Source organism: Homo sapiens, chromosome 17 (genome assembly GCF_000001405.40).
Source record: "Homo sapiens chromosome 17, GRCh38.p14 Primary Assembly".
Classification (NCBI taxonomy): domain Eukaryota; kingdom Metazoa; phylum Chordata; class Mammalia; order Primates; family Hominidae; genus Homo; species Homo sapiens.
The window spans coordinates 7,636,187-7,659,540 of NC_000017.11; the positions used below are offsets into that span (position 1 = coordinate 7,636,187).

A 23,354-nucleotide genomic window follows, 5' to 3' on the forward strand; every position below is an offset into this window, starting at 1 on the left:
GGGTCAACATTAGCTGGGTGGTCAGGGAAGTCATTTGAGCAGAGACCTGAATAATGAAAAGAAGTCATCCTGTGGAGGCCTGTGGAGTGTGAGCCAGCAGGGAGGGGGGTTAAAGAGCCCGGATGTACCTGGGCACCCACCAAGGGGGTTGTTCCGAGTGCCAATATCCTGACCTTTTGTCCCTGGAATCTCCTCGGAGCTGGCTTTTCTCTCCTCCCTCCACCCCACCTTCTCCAGGACACTGTGCCACCAACCTCTCTTTCCCCAGCCTGCCCTAGATTCCAGGATTCCTGATTACCATCCAGAGCTGTCTACACTCTTTCATTAAGACTGACTTCGCTTTGACATCGACTTTGCCAGGTCCCCAACCAAGGGCACCTACGATGCCTGCCCAGTGTCCCCTGCCTTCCCCACACCCCCAAAAACTTTTCAGAGCTTGGCAGCACACACTAAAGCCTCTGGGCCTGATCTACCCACTCACCCCATCCTACCCACTGCCTCTCTCTCTCTCTCTCCCTCCCTTCTTGCTGCGCCCCCCCCCCAACTTTCATTCAATTAACATGTATTGGCTGCTGATACATTGGTCAAATACTGTGTAGCCCACCACAGGGACTCTAAAGATGAATATAAAACTTGGTACTGGGCTGGAGAACCAGGGTCTTTTTTTTTTTTTGAGACGGAGTCTCGCTTTTTCTCCCAGGCTGGAATGCAGTGGCGTGATCTTGGCTCACTGCAAGCTCTACCTCCTGGGTTCACGCCATTCTCCTGCCTCAGCCTTCTGAGTAGCTGGGACTACAGGCGTACGCCACCACGCCCAGATAATTTTTTGTTTTTTTAGTAGAGACGGGGTTTCACCGTGTTAGCCAGGATGGTCTCCATCTCCTGACCTCGTGATCCACCCGCTTCGGCCTCCCAAAGTGCTGGGATTACAGGCGTGAGCCACTGTGCCTGGCCTTTTTTTTTCTTTTGAGACAGAGTCTCGCTCTTTCAGCCAGGCTGGAGTGCAGTGACATGATCTCAGCTCACTGAAACCTCTGTCTCCCAGGCTCAAGCAATTCTCCTGTCTCAGCTTCCCAAGTAGCTGGGACTACAGGCATGTGCCACCACACCTGGCTAATTTTTGTACTTTTAGTAGAGATGGGGATTCACCATGTTGGCCAGGCTAGTCTCGAACTCCTGACCTCAGGTAATCTGCCTGTCTCGGCCTCCCAGAGTGCTGGGATTATAGGCATGAGCCACCGCGCCCAGCCTTTTTTTTTTTTTTTCTTTTGAGACAGAGTCTCCCTCTATTGCCCAGGCTGGAGTGCAATGGCGTGACCTTGGCTCACTGCAACTTCCACTTCCCGGGTTCAAGTGATTCTCCTGCCTCAGCCTCTCAAGTAACTGGGATTACAGGCATGCACCACCACACCTGGCTAATTTTTATATTTTTAGTAGAGACAAAGTTTCACCATGTTGGCCAGGCTGGTCTCAAACTCCTGACCTCAGGTGATCTGCCCACCTCAGCCTCCCAAAGTGCTGAGTTTAAGGGCGTGAGCCACCGGGCCCAGCCAGAACCAGGGTCTTGAGAGAGAGATAGACATGTAAAATGCTTTAGCAGAGGTATCTGAGATGCCAAGAAACCTAGTTGCTAGTTCTACTAAGGACCATCAAAGAAATGAGTTATGGCTGGACGCGGTGGCTCATGCCTGTAATCCCAGCACTTTGGGAGGCTAAGGTGAATGGATCACCTGAAATCAGGAGTTTAAGACCGGCGTGGCCAGCATGGTGAAACCCCATCTCTACTAAAAATACAAAAAATTAGCTGGGCGTGGTGGCGGGCTCCCATAATCCCAGCTACTGGGGAGGCTGAGGCAGGAGAATCGCTTGAACCCGGGAGGCGGAGGGTGCAGTGAGCTGAGACTGCACCATTGCACTCCAGCCTGGGCAACAGAGCAAGACTTCGGAACAAGAAAACAAAAAAATAAAAAAACAAAAGAAACGAGTTGTTAGATGTGCGAAGTTGAACAAATGACTAAACCTCTATTACTGTTTCCCCATCTACAAAATGGGAAGTTTCTCTATCTTAGAAGGTTACTGTGAAGATTTGATGAAATCATGTAGACATTTTAATGTCTAGCATAGTGTTTGGCATACAGAAAGTGCTCAATATATGAGATATATATATATTTCTCAATATATATAAGAAATGTTGTTCTTATTAATCTCACACAGTTCCTGACATATTAGTTCTCACATAGTTCCTGACATACTAGTCTGAGCCTGCTGGGTATCAAAGATCTGGGAGGGCGTGTGACATGGATGAACCATGGAGAGGCTGAGATGGAGTGAGGGCAGGTGGGGGCTCCTTGGGCTATGTGGCCTTGTGTGTCCTGCTGAGGAGTTGGAGCTTGATCTCGTCAGTGAATAAACTTTATTTTCTTATCTATTCTTCTTTTTCTTCTTCTTCTTTTTTTTTTTTTTGAGAGAGAGTCTCACTGTGTCGCCCAGGCTGGAATGCAGTGGCGTGATCTGGGCTCACTGCAACCTCTGTCTCCCGGGTTTAAGAGATTCTCCTGGCTCAGCCTCCCAAGTAGCTGGGATTACAGATGCCCACCACCACGCCCAGCTAATTTTTTGTATTTTTAGTAGAGACGGGGTTTCACTGTGTTAGCCAGGATGGTCTCAATCTTCTGACCTTGTGATCTGCCCACCTCGGTCTCCCAAAGTGCTGGGATTACAGGCGTGAGCCACCATGTCAGGCCTTTTTTTTTTTTTTTTTGAGACAGCATCTGGTTCTGTTGCCCAGGCTGAAGTGTAGTGGCGCGATTTCAGTTCACTGCAACCTCCAGCTCCTGGGTTCAAGCGATTCTCCTGCCTCAGCTTCCTGAGTAGCTGGGATTACAGACATGCACCACCACACCTGACTAATTTTTTGTATTTTTAGTAGAGACAGGGTTTTACCATTTGGCCAGGCTGGTCTCAAACTTCTGGCCTCAAGTGATCCACACACCTTGGCCTCCCAAAGTGCTGGGATTACAAGCGTGAGCCACCACATCTGGCTTTCTTTCTTCCTTTTCTTCTATTTTTTTCTTTTTTAGAGACAGCCTTGCTGTGTTACCAACTGTAGTACAGTGGTGCAATCATGGCTGGGACCACAGGAGCAGGCCATTGCACCCAGCTTATTTTTAAATTTTTTGTAGAGATGCGGTCTTGCTATGTTACTCAGGCTGATCTCAAACTCTTGGCCCCACTCTTGGAATCCTCCCCACTCAGCCTCCCAAAGTGCTGGGATTACAGGCATGAGCCACCATTCCTGGCCTCTTCTCTTATTTTCTTTTTCTTTCTTTCCTTCCCTTCCTTCCTTCTTTCGATTGTGGTAAAATACACACAACATAAAATTTACCATCTGAACCTTTTTTTTGTTTTTGAGATAGGATCTCATTCTGTTGCCCAGGCTGGAGTACATTGGTGCAACCATGGCTCACTGTAGCCTCCAGTTCCTGGGTTCAAGTAATCTTCTCACCTCAGCCCCCCCAGTAGCTGGGACTACAGGCATGCACCACTAAGCCTGGCTAATTTTTTTTTTTTTTTTTTTTGAGACTGAGTCTTGCTGTCGCCCGGGCTAGAGTGCAGTGGTGCGATCAATGCTCACCGCAACCTCTGCCTCCTGGGTTCAAGCAATTCTCCTGTCTCAGCCTCCCGAGTAGCTGGGATTACAGGCCTGATAATTTTTGTATTTTTAGTGGAGACGGGGTTTCACCATGTTGGCCAGGCTGGTCTCAAACTCCTGACCTCAGGTGATCCACCCACCTCGGCCTCCCAAAGTGCTGTGATTACAGGCGTGAGCCACCGTGCCCAGCTAATTTTTGTATTTTTAGTAGAAATGGGGTTTCACCATGTTGGCCAGGCTGGTCTCGAACTCCAGACCTCAAGTGATCCACCCACCTCAGCCTCCCAAAGTGCTGGGATTACAGGTGTGAGCTGCTGCACCCGGCCTAATTTTTAAATTTTTTGTATAGACTGGGGTCCCACTGGTCTGGAACTCCTGGGCTTGAATGATTCTCCCACCTTGGTCTCTCAAAGTGCCGGGATTACAGGTGTGAGCTACCGCGCCTGGACCATCTTAACCTTTTTTTTTTTTTTTTTGAGATGGAGTCTTGCTCTGTCGCCCAGGCTGGACCGCAGTGGCACGACCTTGGCTCACTGCAACCTCTGTCTCCCAGGTTCAAGCAATTCTCCCGTCTCAGCCTCCTGTCATCTTAACCATTTTTAAGTGTACATTTCAGTGGCATTAACTCCACTCACGATGTTGTGCAACCATCACCACCATCCATTTCCAGAACTCTTTTCATCTTTGTAAAACTGAGACTCTGTCCCCATTAAACAGCACTGTTCCATTCCCCTCTCCCCACATATCTGTGTTTCAGAAGTCTTCTCTTTCCTTGTTCTTGTCTTTGCAAACACCCATTTTGTTGGGAACCCAGACGGCTAAGTCCCTGGAATTGCACGGACTGACGGGAAGGAGATAGACGGGTACAGCCCTCAGTGAGAGGTGACAGCGTGCTGGCAGCCCTCACAGCCCTCGCTCGCTCTCAGCACCTTCTCGGTCTTGGCGCCCACTCTGGCCGCGCTTGAGGAGCCCTTCAGCCCACCGCTGCACTGTGGGAGCCCCTTTCTGGGCTGGCCAAGGTCGGAGCCAGCTCCTTCAGCTTGCGGGAAGGTGTGGAGGGAGAGACGCGGGTGGGAACCGGGGCTGCACGCGGTGCTTGCCGGCCAGCGCGATTTTGGGTGGACGTGGCACTTGGAGCGCCGGCCGGCCCTGCCGGCCCCGGGCAGTGAGGGGATTAGCACCAGGGCCAGCAGCTGCTATGCTCAATTCTCGCCGGGCCTTAGCTGCCTTGCCGCAGGGCAGTGCTCGGGACCTGCAGCCCACCATGCCTGAGCCTCCCCTTCACTCCGTGGGCTCCTGTGCAGCCCGAGTCTCCCTGAGGAGCGCCACCCCCTGCTCCATGGCGCCCAGTCCCATCGACCACCCAAGAGCTGAGGAGTGCAGGTGCATGGCACTGGACTGGCAGGCAGCTCCACCTGCGGCCTGGTGCTGGATCCACTGGGTGAAGCCAGTTGGGCTTCTGAGTCTGGTGGGGACTTGGAGAACCTTTATGTCTAGCTAAGGGATTGTAAATACACCAATCGGCACTGTGTGTCTAGCTCAAGGTTTGTAAACACACCAATCAGCACCCAGTGTCTAGCTCAGGGTTTATGAATGCACCAATCAACACTCTGTATCTAGCTACTCTGGTGGGGACTTGGAGAACATTTATGTCTAGCTAAGGGATTGTAAATACACCAATCGGCATTCTGTGTCTAGCTCAAGGTTTGTAAACACACCAATCAGCACCTGGTGTCTAGCTCAGGGTTTGTGAATGCACCAATCGACACTGTATCTAACTACTCTGGTGGGGACTTGGAGAACCTTTGTGTTGACACTCTGTATCTAGCTAATCTACTGGGGACTTGGAGAACTTTTGTGTCTAGCTCAGGGATTGTAAACGCACCAATCAGCACCCTGTCAAAATGGACCAATCAGCTCTCTGTAAAATGGACCAATCGGCTCTCTGTAAAATGGACCAGTCAGCAGGATGTGGGTGGGACCAGATAAGAGAATAAACGCAGGCTGCCCGAGCCAGCAGTGGCAACTCACTGGGTCCCGTTTCATACTGTGGAAGCTTAGTTCTTTCGCTCTTTGCAATAAATCTTGCTGCTGCTCACTCTTTGGGTCCACACTTCTTTTATGAGCTGTAACACTCACTCTGAAGGTCTGCAGCTTCACTCCTGAAGCCAGCGAGACCATGAACCCACTGGCAGGAACGATGAACTCCAGACAAGCCGCCTTAAGAGCTGTGACATTCACGGGGAAGGTCTGCAGCTTCACTCCTGAGCCAGCGAGACCACGAACCCACCAGAAGGAAATAACTCCGAACACATCCGAACATCAGAAGGAACAAACTCTGGACACGCCGCCTTTTAAGAACTGTGACACTCAACTGCGAGGGTCTGTGGCTTCATTCTTGAAGTTAGTGAGACCAAAAACTCACCAATTCCGGACACACCAGGACAAGGTCTAGATATGAAAGAGGGGGTGTGAAGGCTTTCATGCCCTGGTTTCTTTCTGGAGATGCTGGTGGGAAAGGTGGGCTCCAGGAAAAGGCTGGAGGTTTGTAACAGCTCTTCTCCTGGAAATTTTTCAGATCTCCCCTCTCTCAGCGTGTTTCCCTCAGAACACCAATGTTGCGCTTAATGCTGGGGCTCCTCCCCCCTCCTCCGTTCTCTCCTCCAAACTTGCAGGAGAAGACAGCAAGGAAAGGGAGCAACAGGTATCTCATCCTTACTCCATAAACCCCCTACAGTGCAGAGAAGACATTTCTTTCTTTCCAAGTGAACATGGGGTACAAGGGTAGAGACTGAGCCGGGAATCCGGAGGCCACCCCTGGCTGTGTTTGCTAAGCTTTACGTTTTGAGGATAGGACCAGGTTTCATCTTTACAAACAGAGGCTGTATCACTTCCGTGCTGCTTGCCTGAGGAAGGAAAGAGCAAGTTGCCTCTGAGGTCCCTTGCAGAAGGAGCCTTTCCATGTTCATGCCAATTTAACCAGGCACTATCTTTGGTAGCTCTATGGGTTTCTTGAGTTTGAAGAAAGTATAAATAGTCTAAGATAAAGGCCTGTTCTCAAAGAGCTTAGAGCGCTTAGAGTCTAGTTGAAGAGATAAAACACACACAAGAGTTTTCTTTTTTTTGAGACGGAGTCTCGCTCTGTCACCCACGCTGGAGTGCAATGGTGCGATCTCGACTCACTGCAACCTCCACCTCCAGGGTTCAGGTGATTCTCCTGCCTTGGCCTCTTGAGTAGCTGGGATTACAGGCACCCGGCTAATCTTTTTTGTATATTTAGTAGAGACAGGGTTTCACCACGTTGACCAAGCTGGTCTTGAACTTCTTTTTATTTATTTATTTTTATTTTTTGAGACGGAATTTCGCTCTTTTTGCCCATGCTGGAGTGTAATGGCGCTATCTCGGCTCACCGCAACCTCTGCCTCCCGGGTTCAAGCGATTGTCCTGCCTCAGCCTCCCGAGTAGCTGGGATTACAGGCATGCGCCACCACCCCAGCTGATTTTGTATTTTTAGTACAGACGGGGTGTCTCCACGTTGGTCAGGCTGGTCTTGAACTCCCGACCTCAAGTGATCCACCTGCCTCAGCCTCCCAAAGTGCTGGGATTACAGGTGTGAGCCACCGCGCCCGGCAGGCTGGTCTTGACGTTCTGATTTCAGGTGATCCACCCGCCTCGGTTTCCCAAAGTGCTGGGATTACAGGAGTGAACCACCGCGCCCGGCCCAATTTTTTTTTTTTTTTTTTGAGAGGAAGTCTTATTCTGTTGCCCAGGCTGGAGTGCAGTGGTGCGATCTCGGCTCACTGCAAGCTCTGCCTCCCGGGTTTCCTGCCTCAGCCTCCGGAGTAGCTGGGACTACAGGCACCCACCACCGCGCCCAGCTAATTTTTTGTATTTTTAGTAGTGACGGGGTTTCGCTGTGTTCTCGATCTCCTGACCTCGTGATCCGCCTGCCTCGGCCTCCCAAAGTGCTGGGATTACAGGCGTGAGCCACCGCGCCCAGCCCTTTTTTTTTTTTTTCAGACGGAGTTTCACTCTTGTTGCCCAGGCTGGAGTGCAATGGCACAATCTCAGCTCACTGCAACCTCTGCCTCCCGGGTTCAAGTGATTCTCCTGTCTCAGCCTCCCTAGTAGCTGGGATTACAGGCATGTGCCACCATGCCCGGCTAGTTTTGTACTTTTAGTAGAGACGGGGTTTCTCCATGTTGGTCAGGCTGGTCTCGAACTCCCGACCGCAGGTGATCCACCCTCCTCGGCTTCCCATAGTGCTGGGATTATAGGCATAAGCCACCGCGCCTGGTCTTTTTTTTTTCTTTTTGAGACAGTCTCGCAGTGTTGCCAAGGCTGGAGTGTAAAGGGCGCAATCTCGGCTCACTGCAACCTCTGCCTCCTGAGTTCAAGTGATTCTCCTATCTTAGCCTCCCGAGTAGCTGGGATTACAAGTGCCCACCACCATGCCTGGCTAATGTTTTGTATTTTTAGTAGAGATGGGGTTTCACTGTGTTGGTCAGGCTGGTCTTGAACTCCCGCCTCGGCCTCCCAAAGTGCTGGGATCACAGACGTGAGCAACTGCACCCGGCTGCACAGCTAGTTTTGTATTTTTAGTAGAGACAGGGTTTCACATGTTGGCCAGGCTGGTCTGGAACTCCTAACCTCAAGTGATCCGCCCGCCTAGGCCTCCCAAAGTGCTGGGATTACAGGCGTGATAATTTTTGTATTTTTAATAGAGATGGGGTTTCGCCATGTTGGCCAGTCTAGTCTTGAACTCCTGACCTCAAATGATCTGCCCGCCTGGCCCTCCCAAAGTGCTGGTATTATAGGCATGAGCCCCCGGGCCCGGCCAATTTTCATTAAATGTGATTATGTCACTCTCCCTCCTGAAACCACAGAATTGTTTTTTTGGTGGTTGGATTAAAATCCAAACCACATCCACTAGATGAGATAGGAGGTCAAAAATATCCAGCCATTCTCTAGGGTCTACAAGGACCCTTTATGGTTTGGCCCCTGCCTAGGTCTTCAATCTCTTGCTGTATTCATCTTGTCTTTGCTCATTAAAGCCCAGCCTTTGCACTTTCACTTCCTTCTTCCTGGAAATCTCTTCCCTTACCTCTCCTCAGACCTCCTTTTGGGTGTGTGAGTCTTACATGAACAGTCATTTCCGTCACAAGAGTTCAAGGCTGCAGTAAGCCACAGTTGCACCACCGTACTCCAGCCTGGGCAGCAGACAGAGATTGTCTCAAAAAAAAAAAAAGTTGTGGCTGGATGCGGTGGCTCATGCCTGTAATCCCAGCACTATGGAAGGCTGAGGCAGGTGGATCACCTGAGGTCAGGAGTTCGAGACCAGCCTGACCAATATGGTGAAAAACCGTCTCTACTAAAATACAAAAATTAGCTGGGCATGGTGGCGCATGCCTGTGATCCCAGCCACTTGGGAGGCTGAGGCAGGAGAAGCACTTGAACCCAGGAGGCGAAGGTTGGAGTGAGCCGAGATCATGCCATTGCAGTCCAGCCTGGACGACAAGAGACTCCGTATAAAAAACAAAACAAAACAAAAAAGTTGCTTTCTCAGTAAGGCCATTCCTGACCATCCAGGCACTCTCTGGTACCTTAGCCTGTTCTTTTTCCTGCATAATATTAACATTATTAGGCTGGGTGCGGTGGCTCATACCTGTAATCCCAGCACTTTGGGAGGCCGAGGCAGGCAGATCACTTGAGGTCATGAGTTGGAGACCAGCCTGGCCAACATGGTGAAACTGGTCTCTACTAAAACACAAAAATTAGCTAGGCATGGTGGTGCATGCCTGTAATCCCGGTTACTCGGGGGGCTGAGGCAGGAAAATTGCTTGAACCCGGGAGATGAGGTTGCAGTGAGCCAAGATTGTACCACTGCCCTCTAGCCTGGGCGATAGAACAAGACTCTATCTCAAAATAATAATAATAATAATAATAATAATAATAATAATAATAATATAAACATTGTATTTGTTTGCTTTTGTTAATTGTCTACTGGAGTGGCAGCCCCAGGAACACAGGGACCAGAATAGTAATAGCACCTGACTCTAAGCAAATGCTCATTAGATATGCATTGAGTGGGCCAGGCATGGTGGCTCATGTCTACAATCCCAGCACTTTGGGAGGCCAAGGTGGGTGGGTCACCTGAGGTCAAGAGTTAAAATCAGCCTGGCCAATATGGTGAAATTGCGTCTCTACTAAAACTACAAAAATTAGCCGGGTGCAGTGGTGGGAGCCTGTAATCCCAGCTACTCAGGAGGCTGAGGCAGGAGAATCGCTTGAACCCAGGAGGCGGAGGTTGCAGTAAGCCAAGATCATGCCATTGTGCTCCAGCCTGGGCAACAGAGCGAGATTCTGTCTCAAGAAAAAAAAAAAGAATCATTATCTCCACCTCTTTTAATCTTTCTTCAAATCTTGCCGGTTTTCCTTGGAGAGGTTTTTCTTCTCCTTTCAACTGTCACCTTAAATCCTTAGCCCAGTTTCTCAACACCTCACATCCAAACTGCCGTCCACATCCTCAAACCCACTCCCTCCAGTCCAAGGCCAGCCTCCTGACGTGCGACCTGCACAGTGGCGCAAGGCCCATGCTCATAGTTGTTTGGTTTAAAACTCTGCTGTTGCTTTTTTTTCCCCCCAAACATTCATGGAGCTGAATGCCATCGCTGTCTTGAAATTCTTCATAGTTCTATCTTTGAATTTGTGCTTTGTAAGTAACATCCAGTGGAGCACTGGCGCATGCGTGTGAGCAGAGGAGATACGTCCCATTCACACAGCGTTCCAGATGCAACATGGACACAGAATTCTGGGGAACCTACAACGTGTGGGAGTTCAGCCAGACTCCAGATGAGTATAAGGTAAGCACATTATGTCTGCAACTGAATATGTGAGGCTGAGCCCGGCCAGCTGCTGAATTGGACGTGAACATGGAAAAGCTCCCTCTGCAAGGAACCTCAACAACAATGGCTCCTGCCTGTAATTCCAGCACTTTGAGTGACCCAGGCGGGAGGATCCCTTGAGCCCAGGAGTTCAACACAAGCCTTGGCAATATGGCGAGACCCCATCTCTATGAAAAACTTCTTTAAAAATTAGCCAGGCATTTTAGCCAGGTGGACTAGTAGACAGGCATTTAGCCCGGTGAGACTAGTAGCCACTGGGCTACTCCCAGCTACTTAGGAGGCTGAGCTGGGAGGATTGGATCACCATGATCACGCCACTGCACTCCAGCCTAGGTGACAGAATAAGAGACTATCTCAAAAAAAAAAAAAAAAAAAAAGAGTAAGTGGGAGTGCTGACAGCTGAGAGACCACACTCTCCACTGGAAGCAGAACTTGGCTATGAACGTGGAAAGGAAGCAATGGCATTGTAGGAGGCATGGATGATCACCATACCTTACCAGATCTTTTCTTAGTCATGTCCCTGTTTTGGCCACTTACGCTGGCAACAATGACATAGAAGGAAAGGGAAGGCTGAGGCAACCCATAGTTCCTTTTCCTTTCAGTCCTTCCTTCCTTATCAGGAAGCTGAAGATAGAAAAATGTTAGGCGGGGCTCACACCTGCAATCCTAGCACTTTGGGAGGCCAAGATGGCAGGATTGCTTGAGGCCAGGAGTTTGAGACCAGCCTCGTCAACACAGAGACCTCCATCTTTGTTTTTTAAGAGACCCCCCATCTCTAAAAAAGAAAGAGAAAGAGACCGGGTGCGGTGGCTCACGCCTGTAATCCCAGCATTTTGGGAGGCCGAGGTGGGCGGATCACGAGGTCAGGAGTTCCAGACCAGACTGACCAACATGGTGAAATCCCATCTCTACTAAAAATACAAAAATTAGCCAGGCGTGGTTGTGCACGCCTGTAATCCCAGCTACTCAGGAGGCTGAGGCAGGAGAATCGCTTGAACCCGGGAGGTGGAAGTTGCAGCGAGCCAAGATCGCGCCATTGCACTCCAGCCTGGGCGACAGAGTGAGACTCCGTCTCAAAAAAAGAAAAAAAAAACATGTAAACATTAAATAGCAAAGAAAAAAACACCATGAGAAAGCCAGGTGTGGTGATGTGTGCCTGCAGCCCCAACTACCTGGAGGCTGAGACTGGAAGGTCGTTCATGGACATGCTGGGTACGGTGGCTCACACTTGTGATTTCAGCACTTTGGGAGGCTGATGTGGGTGGATCCCTTGAGTCCAGGAGTCCAGGAGTTCCACACCAGCCTGGCCAACACGGCAAAACCCTGTCTCTAGTAAAAATACAAAAATTAGCCGGGCATGGTGGCCTGTGCCTGTAATCCCAGCTACTCAAGAGGCTGAGACAGAAGAATTGCTTGAACCTGGGAAGTGGAGGTTGCAGTGAGCCAAGATCGCGTCACTGCACTCCAGTCTGGGTGACATAGCAAGACCCTGTCTCTAAAACAAAAAACCATGAGAAGCTGAAAGAACTATGGATGAAAGGAAAATAGTTTAGGCTGGGTGCGGTTGTTCACACCTGTAATCCCAGCACTTTGCGAGGCCAAGGTAGGTGGATCATTTGAGGTCAGGAACTCAAAACTAGCCTGGCCAACATGGTGAAATCCCATCTCTACAAAAAAATACAGAAATTAGCCGGGCGTGGTGGTAGTCCCAGCTACCCGGGAGACTGAGGGAGGAACCGCTTGAACCCTGGAGGCAGAGGCTGCAGTGAGCAGATATCATGCCACTGCACTCCAGCCTGGGTGACACAGTGAGACTCTGTCTCCAAAAAAAAAAAAAAAAAAAAAAAAAAAAAAAGTTTATATTTTAGTGCCTCTAAGGGCATTTTTTCCCCTAGGTTTTGAACAAGGGTCCCTGCATTTCCATTTTGCACTGGATCCTGACAATTATGCAGCTGGCCATGCTTCAGTCTATTCTGCAGCAGATTCGGGATTAATTTTCTCAAAATACAGCTTTAATTAGGCCACTCCTCAGCTGAAAGTTCTTCAGTGGCTTCTTATTAGCCTGTAGGATAGAGTCCTGATTCTTCAGTCTAACCTGCAGGGTACTCCGCAATCCACACCCATGCTGTGTCCCCAACCTCCTTTCCCACTAGTCTCCGACTAGTTCTCTCCTGGAGCCAAGCCAGCCACTCCTGGGGTAGACTGTGCTTACTCCTGACTTCACACCTCTGTGCCTTTCATTCCTTTGTCCTGGAAGACTACCTACCCTTCAGAGGCCAGCCCCAACTCCCATTCATTCATTCATTCATTCAATGCATACCATTTTTTTGAGATGGAGTTTTGCTCTTGTCCAGGCTGGAGTGCAGTGACACAATCTCGGCTCACTGCAACCTCCACCTTCCAGGTTCAAGCAATTCTCTTGCCTCAGCCTCCTGAGTAGCTGGGATTACAGGCTCCCACCACCGCACCCGGCTAATTTTTTTAGTTTTAGTAGAGACGCAGTTTCACCATGTTGGCCAGGCTGGTCTTGAACTCCTGACCTCTGGTCTCGAACTCCCTTGCTCAGGTGATCCATTGGCCTCGGCCTCCTATAGAGCTGGGATTACAGGCATGAGCCACTGGGCCTGGCCGAGATAATGATTTTTTTTTTCTCTCTTTTTTTGAGACGAAGTCTCACTCTATTGCCCAAGCTGGAGTGCAATGGCGTGATCTCAGCTCACTGCAAGCTCCGCCTCCCGGGTTCAAGCAATTCTCCTGCTTCAGCCTCCTGAGTAGCTGGGACTACAGGCACCCACCACCATGCCCAGCTAATTTTTTTTTTTTTTTTTATTGAGACGGAAGCTCTGTTGCCCAGGCTGGAGTGCAGTGGAGCGATCTCGGCTCACTGCAAGCTCCGCCTCCCGGGTTCATGCCATTCTCCTGCCTCAGCCTCCCAAGTAGCTGGGACTACAAGCTCCCGCCACGACGCCCAGCTAATTTTTTTTTTTTGTATTTTTAGTAGGGACGGGGTTTCACTGTGTTATCCAGGATGGTCTCGATCTCCTGACCTCGTGATCCACCCACCTCGGCCTCCCAAAGTGCTGGGATTACTGGCGTGAGCCACCGCGCCTGGCCTAATTTTGCATTTTTAAGTAGAGACGGGGTTTCACCATGTGGGCAAGGCTAGTCTCGAACTCCTGACTTCGTGATCTGCCCGCCTCGGCCTCCCAAAATGCTGGGATTACAGGCATAAGCCACCGTGCCCGGCTTGAGATAATGATTCTTAACATGTGGTATGTAGAGCAAGTGTACTCCCGCCCTAGACTGTGAGCCCCGTGAGAGATGTGGCTTCAGTGTAACCTCTCTGGCCTCCCCAGGGCTACAGCACACAGTCTATAGAGGTGCTCAATAAATGTTTGTTGACCCAAGTAGACACATAAGGAGGTGAGTTCCGACGTGGGGGTGGGGGTGCCAGGAGGCAGAGAACCGAAGTAGACCTGGCTGCAGGGCTGGGATCTCAGGGCAGTGCTGGGGACTGGGAATGTGGTGTTGAGAGGGCTTCAGGGAGACGTGATGGGAAGATGGGGAAGCCTCTGCACGTGGACAGAGCCAGGTGGTGTGGACAGGGGCTGTGAGATTGGAGAAGGAGGCGTCTGGGGGACTGGTAGCGGCTCCCAACAGGGGAACGTCCCTCTGGGGGTGGCCTTTATCCATCTCTGCGGGGCCTGTCCTAGCTTCCCTCCTGGCTCGGCCAGCCTCCCGGCTGGTCTCTTCGCTCTCTTTCTTGATCTCTAGCTCTTTATTCCTCTGACATTCTGCCCCATCTGCTCCCGGACTCTTCCGCCGCATCTGTATCTTAGTCTCTTTCTAACTCCCTGCCTGGGGCCCCCACCTTTGAGCATATATCGGCTTCTCTCTCTGCCGTTGTGTTTCTCTGGGGTTATCTTTCCCTCTACTCCGCCCGGACACGCCCTCTATCTCTTCCTCCCACCCTGTCCCAGTCTAGTACCTGGGGTGGGGGTAATGGAGAGACAGCTAGGTCCCTAAGAGAAGTCAGGGGGGCGGGCCCAACCTCTCCATATTTACATATGTATGAGGTCGCCTGGGCCAGTGGCGAGGAGGCGGAGCTTCTGGGGGTGGGAAGGGGGCGGGCACCCCCAGAGCCGCAGAGTATAAAGACCGCGCTCGGCGACCGCGGGCCTCGCACTGCTGAGGAGCGGAGCCTCCGCCTGGGGGGCCCCCCATCCCTGGCTGTCCCCCAGCTGCGCGTCCCCGCCCCACCCCCGCGGCTGAGCCACCACCGGTGCAGTGGTCTCCGCTTGGCGGAGCGAGCCTTGAGCTTCGTTCCACAGCTTCTTTGCATCTTGGATTTCGGGGCGGCCCCCTCCCCCACCTCTCTCTGCCTTTTTGTACCCCGCTTTTTTTCTGCGTTCTGCTCGGTTTTTGTAGCCGTCTGTTTTTGCACCCCATTTCGTTTTGTTTCTAGACGGTTTGGTGGGGGGTGAAGCTGCATTCATACCCCTTCCTCTTGTTATTCTCCCCTGCTCTGACAGCACCCCTTTTCATCGCAGTTGGGGGGCCTAGGATCGGTGCATCTTCCGCCGCGCTGCCAGCACCCCGCAGCGCGTGGTCGTGCACCCCGGAATCTGCAGCAGCTGCATATCTGAGGGGGGTCTCCTTTGCCCGCGCCGCCTTCGCTCCCCGTGCTTTTGGGTGTGTGGAGGGCTTCAGCGCGCGGCGCCCCCGCTTCTCCGCAACCCCCCGCCCCGCGCCCGGACTCGCCCCGCGCCACCAAGATGGTCATCCAGAAAGAGAAGAAGAGCTGCGGGCAGGTGGTTGAGGAGTGGAAGGAGTTCGTGTGGAACCCGAGGACGCACCAGTTTATGGGCCGCACCGGGACCAGCTGGGGTACGCAGGGCCGGCACGCAAGGGGCGGGGGAAAGCCGCGGGGCGACGCCTCGGGGGCGCAGGGTCCCGCCGACGCGGCCCCAGCTCCCCTCCCGGGTCCCCGGCGTCCAGCCTCCCTGCCGGGCTCTGGGCTGGGAGGGGGCCGAATCGCCAGTCTAATCTCCCCGGCTGGCCGTGCGGAGGCGGAGAAAGTAGGTCACAGCCGCCTTCCCGCCCCCCGCGGAGCCCCCTCGGGCGGGGGGTCGCCAGCTCCGCCTGCGTGTCCGCGCCGGCGCTCACACTCCCTCTCGGGGCCTGTCCGCTCCACACGGGCGTCCCCCACCTCCAAAGAGCGCCCCTTCCCTCCCTCCGGCTCTCACTAGCTCCGCAGCCCCGTCTATTTTTAGCTCGTGCCCACCCCCTGGACCCTGGGAACGTTCATGAGGGGGCGGGTCTTGGGGGGTGTGTTAGGGGGGTTCTTCACGGCGGAAGTTGTCTGTATCCCACCGCCTGGCCTTGGGAGCCTTCTGGGACTGCTTTGTGGGTTGGGGGGCTGCTGATAGTATGAGTTTTACCGAGGCTGCAGGTTTTGCTCCCATGTCGGTGACGGAGGGAGGAGTGGTCGCTGTGGTGATTTGTGTGCATCAGCCAGCCAGGTGTCTGTGACAGTCGGATGACTTGGAAGCCTCCCCAGGCTGACCATGGCAGGACTCAGGGAGCTGTAGTGGTCGGGGGTTGGGGGGGTGGAGGGGGTCTGGTGACCGGCACAGGTGCAGGTGAGGGGTGGAATTCTTCCAAGAGGGATGGTCAAGCTGGGACGTTGAGACACAGGGGACAGAGGACACTGTGTGACACGATTTACAATCTTTCCACACTGGGCACCGTCCCCATCAGTCCACCCATTCGGGGCCTACACGAAGTGGGTCCCATGCAATCCATTCCCTCAGGGAACTCAAACTCCAGCCCCTGGGATGAGAAGAATCCAGCAATGCTTGGGAGAGCCAGAGGACTTCATGGAAGAAGTGTCCTCTGAGATGGAAGGATTGGGAGTCCAGGGTGGTGGGAACAGCCGGCCCTTGGGTCCTTACTTCAGGCGGGGGAGCCATGGAGAGATCCCACCAAGGGAAGGCTGTGGGAGATTCTGCCTTTCCTCCCTGCCTCTGCCCAGGGTGCTGGGTGTGAACTGAGGGTGGGGTGACTGTTGAAGGTTCTAACAAGCCGTCTCTGAGAGATTTGTAGCTAGGCTAGTGTTAGGTCTTTCATTTCAGGAACTGTGTTCAAAGTTTGGCTTCTGAAGGGCACCAGGAGAGAGATGTTGCTATTCAAATCTGAGGGTCCAGTCTCTGCGGGGTGGTATGAGGGTTTGCTTGTGAATGGTGGCCAGTACCCGCTTTAAAAGGCACCATGCTAGCACAGCTTTAAGCATGAGTACGAATGCAGAGGTAACAGATGTGTGCCTTGTCAGGACTATGCATGGTTGAGAAGTTGGAAATGTAATTGGAGGCAAAATAACAGACCTCCACAAGGTCGGGCTTCACTGTGCCCTAGGACCAGGAGGGGGCTGGGAGTCATGGCTAGAAGCCAGACACAACTGCCTGTTTCCAGTTTGTCTCATTTTGCCTCCAGAGGAAGGCTCTAAGACATCCCTGTGGCTCTGTGATCAGTCCCAGTGCAGAACTTCAGAGTGGGTAGAGGGGTGTGTGGGGATAGTTGAGGTTATGGTGGGAACCTTGGGCCCTGCTGACCCTGTTTCCTCCTCCCTAGCCTTTATCCTCCTCTTCTACCTCGTTTTTTATGGGTTCCTCACCGCCATGTTCACCCTCACCATGTGGGTGATGCTGCAGACTGTCTCCGACCATACCCCCAAGTACCAGGACCGACTGGCCACACCGGGTGAGTGTGGAGGCTCCCCCTGCCAGCTACTCTAACTGCTCTTGTGCCCCCAAACCTCCAGAAGGAACTCATAGTTCCTTCCAGGAGTTTGATTTTGATGACCCAATCCCCACGTGCTTGGAAGTTCTTGAAATCTGTCCACCTTCCCATTTACTGCAGTTGGGAGCTGTGTGATTTGGGCATGTGGCAGATAGCCACAGGAGATCACCCTCCCATGAAGACGATCTCAGATATTCACCGCTGTCCCCACTCTGGTGTTCCCTGTGTCCATTTTCTTCCCTCTGTGTGCAGTCCCTCATCTTATAGATACCCCCAACTTCTGCCTTTGTTGGCTGTAGGCTTGATGATTCGCCCCAAGACTGAGAACCTTGATGTCATTGTCAATGTCAGTGACACTGAAAGCTGGGACCAGCATGTTCAGAAGCTCAACAAGTTCTTGGAGCGTGAGTGTGGGCCTGGTTATGTGTCAGTTCAAGACTTCGGGCAGGGGACTGGGGACCTTGGAAGTGGAACATCTGGCCCCTGAGTCTCTCCCTCCCACCTCTTTAGCTTACAACGACTCTATCCAAGCCCAAAAGAATGATGTCTGCCGCCCTGGACGCTATTACGAACAGCCAGATAATGGAGTCCTCAACTACCCCAAACGTGCCTGCCAATTCAACCGGACCCAGCTGGGCAACTGCTCCGGCATTGGGGACTCCACCCACTATGGTTACAGCACTGGGCAGCCCTGTGTCTTCATCAAGATGAACCGGGTATCTATGACCTTGGTCCCCAGGGTGAATGGAGGAAGGATCTGGGGACACCACCTGCAGACAATTGCATCCTTTCACTGGGGCTAATGGGCATGAGAAAGACTTGGATGTTTGTGTAGCTGAGAGAAAAAGAGAGGTGGGACTCTTGGAGGCTAAGCTCTGCAGTTAGAAGGCTGGATGCCTTTTGTTTTTTTTTTAGACAGGGTCTTGCTATGTTGCCCAGGCTGGCCTTGAACTCCTGGAATTAAGCTATCCTCCCGCCTCAACCTCCCTAGTAGTTGGGACTACAGTCCCCGGCTTAGCTTGGTCTGGATGCCCATCTTCGACAACTTCTTCCTCTGACTCTCTTCACCTTCCACCCTCACTCCAGGTCATCAACTTCTATGCAGGAGCAAACCAGAGCATGAATGTTACCTGTGCTGGGAAGGTGAGTTCGTTGGGCCTTGTCTGCCTGCTCACCTGAGTGGCTCACCTGAGTGTCCTTCATGGTTTCTGTGTAATTCACCTGTCTCTCCCTATCTTCTTTGCTCCTAGAGGCCCCATCACCATAGAAACAAGGGGGTAAGAGTGGGCTTTTGGGCTCCACTGTAGCTTGAACTCCGAGGGCCCCGCACTCCTCTTGCTTCTCTCTGGGATGCAGAGGCCTGCTCTCCTAGGGGCCAGACACACGCCCTCCTCCACCAACGCCCTGGCCTCTGGCTTCTCTCCCTAACGCTTCCACCTTCTCCTTCATTCCCAGATTGTCCGTATCGTTCGCTCTCCCTCCCATATGGCCCCCACCCGTCAGTTCCTTCTAGGTGTCTGGTAGCTGCTGATCTGTTAGCACCATCTGCCACCAGTTCGTTGTCCTTGGGACCCTGTTCCCCGCTTCCCCCCCGGTCTGTCCTTTCTAGAAACTGGCTGCTCCCTCCACATCCCCTTCCTTGCTTCCTATTCAACCCTTAATCATGTATCTCTTCTTTCTTGGCTCTGCTCCAGAAACTGATTCCTGAGGATGGGGTAAGAACTTGGGGTAGGAGTGGAGTAGGAGGCTTTCGTGCCATTAGCAGCCTTCAGGAGTTCCTAGAATGATGACAGGGACAGACCATCCCCTCATCTACACACGCACATGCAGACACACACACACAGACTCACAGCTCCAGGGAGGCAGACTTGAGACAGGAATAATTGGGGCGAAGGAAGAACAAAAGAACAAATGGAAGTCTGGTGAGCTCCTGGGTGCCTGCCATCCCTAACTGGCTCACCCCCTATCTTCCTGCACCCCCACAGCGAGATGAAGATGCTGAGAATCTCGGCAACTTCGTCATGTTCCCCGCCAACGGCAACATCGACCTCATGTACTTCCCCTACTATGGCAAAAAGTTCCACGTAAGTCCCAGGGGAGGCCCAGGCTGATGGCGGGTGCGGGTGGTGAGCTAGGGAAGGAGGCCGCGTTGCCCCAGGCCTAGACCCTGCACTGCTCCTCCGGCCCAGGTGAACTACACACAGCCCCTGGTGGCTGTGAAGTTCCTGAATGTGACCCCCAACGTGGAGGTGAATGTAGAATGTCGCATCAACGCCGCCAACATCGCCACAGACGATGAGCGAGACAAGTTCGCCGGCCGCGTGGCCTTCAAACTCCGCATCAACAAAACCTGAGGCCCCTTCCTCCCACCCCATCTCTCTCCTGTGGATGCTCCTGGAATGTCCCTGACCCTGCCTGATCCCTCCCTCACCCACCCCAAAGGTATTTTTGATAACAGAGCTATGACTTGTCTGAGCCTCACATCCTTTTCCTTGACTTCTCAACCCAGCCTGAAGTCCATTGCGGTTCCGTCACTCGCCTTTCCCACCAACTTCTCCCAACCTCAGATCAGTCAGACAGGGAGCTGGGCTAAGATGGCCACGGAGGAGTTAGGAGCCTTTCTAGTTCTGGTTTAGCTGTGAGAGCTATCCACTCTCCTGCCTGCATATCCCCTGAGAGTTATAGGAAGTGCCCACTGACCCACCCACCCACCTACACCCCCCGCCACACACACACACAAACGTGCACACGCGTCTCATTTGACCCCTTTGCTTCCAGAGATGAATGTGGCACTCCCTCCTTCCATTCCTAAGCTCTGGCCACCGTCCCTTGATCTCTCATACTTTCTCCCTGTCTACACAGTCGCCATCTTGGTGACTTTGAATTTATCTGGCTCCTGGGCAGGTCTTCTCCTCCTCTCCATCCCTATTCCCTCCTCTGAAATGCACCCCTTTGTAATTGAGGACAAGGTGGTTCTGTGGCCTTTTCCCTCTTTGCTGGCACGTTCTGCTTCTCACCCTCTGGTGACTCTGTGAGCTGGGAAATGAGGGACTGGAAGTGAGGCCTGTGTTGACCCTTCCTGAAAATCCTCTAGCAGCCCCCGACTTCAGCAGTTTCTTTCTTTGTTTTTTTGAGATGGAGTTTCGCTCTTGTTGCCCAGGCTGGAGTGCAATGGTGCAATCTCAGCTCACTGCAACTTCCGCATCCCAGGTTCAAGCGATTCTCCCGCCTCAGGTTCCCGAGTAGCTGGGACTACAGGCATGTGCCACCATGCCCGGCTAATTTCTTTCTTTCTTTTTTTTTTTTTTTGCATTTTTTAGTAGAGATGGGGGTTTCTCCTTGTTGGTCAGGCTGGTCTCGAACTCCCGACCTCAGGTGATCCACCTGCCTCGGCCTCCCAAAGTGTTGGGATTACAGGCGTGAGCCACCGCGCCCGGCCTTCAGTTTCTTCCTAGGCCGTTCTGTCACCCAAATAGCTGCTACCCAGAGGGGCGGGGTTGACCTAGGCTGAATATCCACTTTGTTTTTATGGATGGCTCCCTTCCCCCATTCGCCTTCCCAGAATATCCTTCAAGTTCCACTTCCCAGGGAGCTCTGGGGGAGGGGCGGCCATTCTGGCTCCGTCCCCAGTGGCCACCTTGGAAACATCGGCTGGCTTTGGGACTATTCCACCTCCTTCCCCTGAGCCCAGATCTGCCCCCACCATCCTTTCTCTGGCTTCTTTTAGCAAGTTATCAACTAATCACTAACTCCTTCCTTTTCCTCTGCATGCCAGCCTGAAAATTCCAAATCTAGCCTCTGAATGTCTTGGCTCCATCTCTTCAGACCCCTTTGCCTTTAAAAAAAAAACAAAAACAAAAACAAAAAAACCCATAATGCCCACAGAATGTCAAATGAGGGGCCTCCTGCCTCCTGCTCTGAATATTCTGTAGCTGTAGAGGCATTTTAACCCTTTGTCCTCCAGCATCCCTTCACTTCCTCATCCTCTCTAACCTCCTTTTTCTTTTTTTAATGCTGCAGCCTCCACACTCCACCCACAGGTGGACCCTTCCCTTTTTCTCTAGCTGGATCTGTGTTTCTTCCCTTCGGGCCCCCATGTTTTCCTGCACCCGCCCTACCATGGTCTCTCTCTGCAGTTATTTAATGCCTGTGTCAGATCTACTGTAAAAAGAGGATTAAGTAAAATAAAATGAGAGCAATTATATATATAAATATATATCATACACAGAGCCCTGTGTGTGGGTTGTTCCTTTCTGAGCAGTTGGAAGAGCCCAGGGAAGGAGTGGAGGGTGGATCTGGGTGGTCCCAAGGGGATCCCCCAGGCCTTGGAGGCCGCTCCCCAGCTTTGATCTCTTCCTTCCAGTGTCCAAGCATCTACCCCCTTCGCCTTGACTAATTTAGTGCGCACTATCTTGGGATAACTCCATACAAGAGAGACAGGAAGCCTACGTCCCTTTTGTACAGTGATGCTTATGAAGTGCCTACTGTGTGCATTCTAGGCACCGTGAGGACACAGTTATGAAAGAGGCAGAGATCCTGCCCCCAAGGAGCTCCCCAGTTTAACAGGAGAGGTGAGGAGCACACGAGAAACTCTCATGCAGGGTAGACCTAAACATGCTTCAAGGAAAGGGAGAGAGCCTGTGATGATAAAATTCAGAGCCGTCAACCGCTGTCTGTCAGGCACGTTAAAGGGAAGCTTTCTCAGAGGAGGTAGCATTTGAACGGGAGCTTAAAGGAGGGGTGATTTGGAGAGAAAAGAGCATCAGCAAATGCTCAGAGACAGATGAGAAAAGTTGACTAGAAGAAACATGAATGTCAAAGCAATAAGAGCCGGGCATGGTGGCTCACGCCTGTAATCCCAGCACCTTGGGAGGCTGAGGCGGGCAGATCACCTGAAGTCGGGAGTTCAAGACCAGCCTGGCCAACATGGTGAAACCCCGTCTCAACTAAAAAAAAAAAATACAAAATTAGCCGGGCGTGGTGGTGCCCACCTGTAATCCCAGCTACTCGGGAGGCTGAGGTAGGAAAATCGCTTGAGCCCGGGAGGCGGAGGTTGCAGTGAGCTGAGAGTGTGCCATTGCACTCCAGCCTGGGCAACAAGAGCAAAACTCCATCTCAAAAAAAAAAAAAAAAGCAATATGAACTATAAGATCCTAATTTTGTGGAAAGTAAACACACAGGCCGGGCGTGGTGGCTCTTGCCTGTAATCCCAGTGCTTTGGGAGGCTGAGGTGGGAGGATTACCTGAGGTCAGGAGTTCGAGACTAGTCTGGCCAACATGGTGAAACCCTGTCTCTACTAAAAATACAAAAAATTAGCCGGGCCTGGTGGCAGATGCCTGTAGTCTCAGCTACTTGGGAGGCTGAGGCAGGAGAATCGTTTGAACCCAGGAGGTGGAGGGTGCAGTGAGCTATTGTGCCACTGCACTCCAGCCTAGGCAACAAGAGCGAAACTCCGTCTCAAATAAATAAATAAAAAAGTAAACAGACACATAAGGATAGAAAAAAATATATATGATGTTTCCTGTAGTATATGGGGGAGGGGAGGGGCTTATAGCTAATTTTTATTTTCTTATCGGGGCCTTTTTTCTTTTTGCAATGAATTGGTCTTCGTATTTGTCTTAAAAATAGCTTTATTACACATGAATCCACCTATACACAATTTTATCATGAATGCATAATATACACACATGCACGCACACACACACACCCCTCATCATATAGAAAAGGATCACTGGGTTTTGGTCATTGTTATACTAAAATTGGGTCATACCATACACACTTTCATGCATCTTACTTTTCCCACTCAATAAATATCATATGTCAGTACTTCCCCTGGCAGAGCTCTAATTTATTTCAAGTTTTATTTCTTTATGAACTTAATTATTTATTTATGTACTTATTTATTTTTGAGACAGAGTCTTGCTCTGCCACCCAGGCTGGAGTGCAGTGGTTTAATCTCGGCTCACTGCAACCTCCACCATCTGGGTTCAAGCGATTC

General features: G+C 51.8%; 1 protein-coding gene across 2 annotated transcripts, besides 7 other annotated features; it reads left to right on the forward strand.

Annotated features, from left to right (window-relative positions):
- Positions 1-10,440: 10,440 nt before the first annotated feature.
- Positions 10,441-21,584, forward strand: ATP1B2 (ATPase Na+/K+ transporting subunit beta 2). Of its 2 annotated transcripts, NM_001678.5 has the most exons (7): positions 14,740-15,444; positions 17,188-17,316; positions 17,655-17,759; positions 17,866-18,071; positions 18,442-18,498; positions 19,341-19,439; positions 19,545-21,584. In NM_001678.5, exons 1-7 carry the CDS (start codon positions 15,333-15,335, stop codon positions 19,707-19,709), a joined length of 873 nt encoding a protein of 290 aa, NP_001669.3. In that variant the 5' UTR covers positions 14,740-15,332; the 3' UTR covers positions 19,710-21,584. The 2 variants fall into 2 exon arrangements, with proteins under 2 accessions (NP_001290192.1, NP_001669.3); NM_001303263.2 differs by lacking the exons at positions 14,740-15,444; positions 17,188-17,316 and adding an exon at positions 10,441-10,515.
- Positions 11,694-11,903: a silencer, noted in NCBI's record as "fragment chr17:7551198-7551407 (GRCh37/hg19 assembly coordinates)". NCBI's record gives its function as "represses an EF-1alpha promoter that drives an FKBP-Casp9 reporter gene in an ReSE screen in phorbol 12-myristate 13-acetate-treated (for megakaryocytic differentiation) K562 erythroleukemia cells {active_cell/tissue: K562(+PMA)}" and the evidence as "EXISTENCE:reporter gene assay evidence [ECO:0000049][PMID:32094911]".
- Positions 13,392-13,892: an enhancer, noted in NCBI's record as "H3K4me1 hESC enhancer chr17:7552896-7553396 (GRCh37/hg19 assembly coordinates)". NCBI's record gives its function as "activates a minimal SCP1, AML or CMV promoter by ChIP-STARR-seq in primed H9 embryonic stem cells {active_cell/tissue: H9 hESC(primed)}" and the evidence as "EXISTENCE:reporter gene assay evidence [ECO:0000049][PMID:30033119]".
- Positions 13,893-14,393: an enhancer, noted in NCBI's record as "H3K4me1 hESC enhancer chr17:7553397-7553897 (GRCh37/hg19 assembly coordinates)". NCBI's record gives its function as "activates a minimal SCP1, AML or CMV promoter by ChIP-STARR-seq in primed H9 embryonic stem cells {active_cell/tissue: H9 hESC(primed)}" and the evidence as "EXISTENCE:reporter gene assay evidence [ECO:0000049][PMID:30033119]".
- Positions 14,650-14,799: a silencer, noted in NCBI's record as "silent region_8135". NCBI's record gives its function as "represses an Ori minimal core promoter by ATAC-STARR-seq in GM12878 lymphoblastoid cells {active_cell/tissue: GM12878}" and the evidence as "EXISTENCE:reporter gene assay evidence [ECO:0000049][PMID:35858748]".
- Positions 14,650-15,310: a biological region, named in NCBI's record as "H3K4me1 hESC enhancer GRCh37_chr17:7554172-7554814".
- Positions 14,668-15,310: an enhancer, noted in NCBI's record as "H3K4me1 hESC enhancer chr17:7554172-7554814 (GRCh37/hg19 assembly coordinates)". NCBI's record gives its function as "activates a minimal SCP1, AML or CMV promoter by ChIP-STARR-seq in naive H9 embryonic stem cells {active_cell/tissue: H9 hESC(naive)}" and the evidence as "EXISTENCE:reporter gene assay evidence [ECO:0000049][PMID:30033119]".
- Positions 19,010-19,828: an enhancer, noted in NCBI's record as "H3K4me1 hESC enhancer chr17:7558514-7559332 (GRCh37/hg19 assembly coordinates)". NCBI's record gives its function as "activates a minimal SCP1, AML or CMV promoter by ChIP-STARR-seq in primed H9 embryonic stem cells {active_cell/tissue: H9 hESC(primed)}" and the evidence as "EXISTENCE:reporter gene assay evidence [ECO:0000049][PMID:30033119]".
- Positions 21,585-23,354: the final 1,770 nt, after the last annotated feature.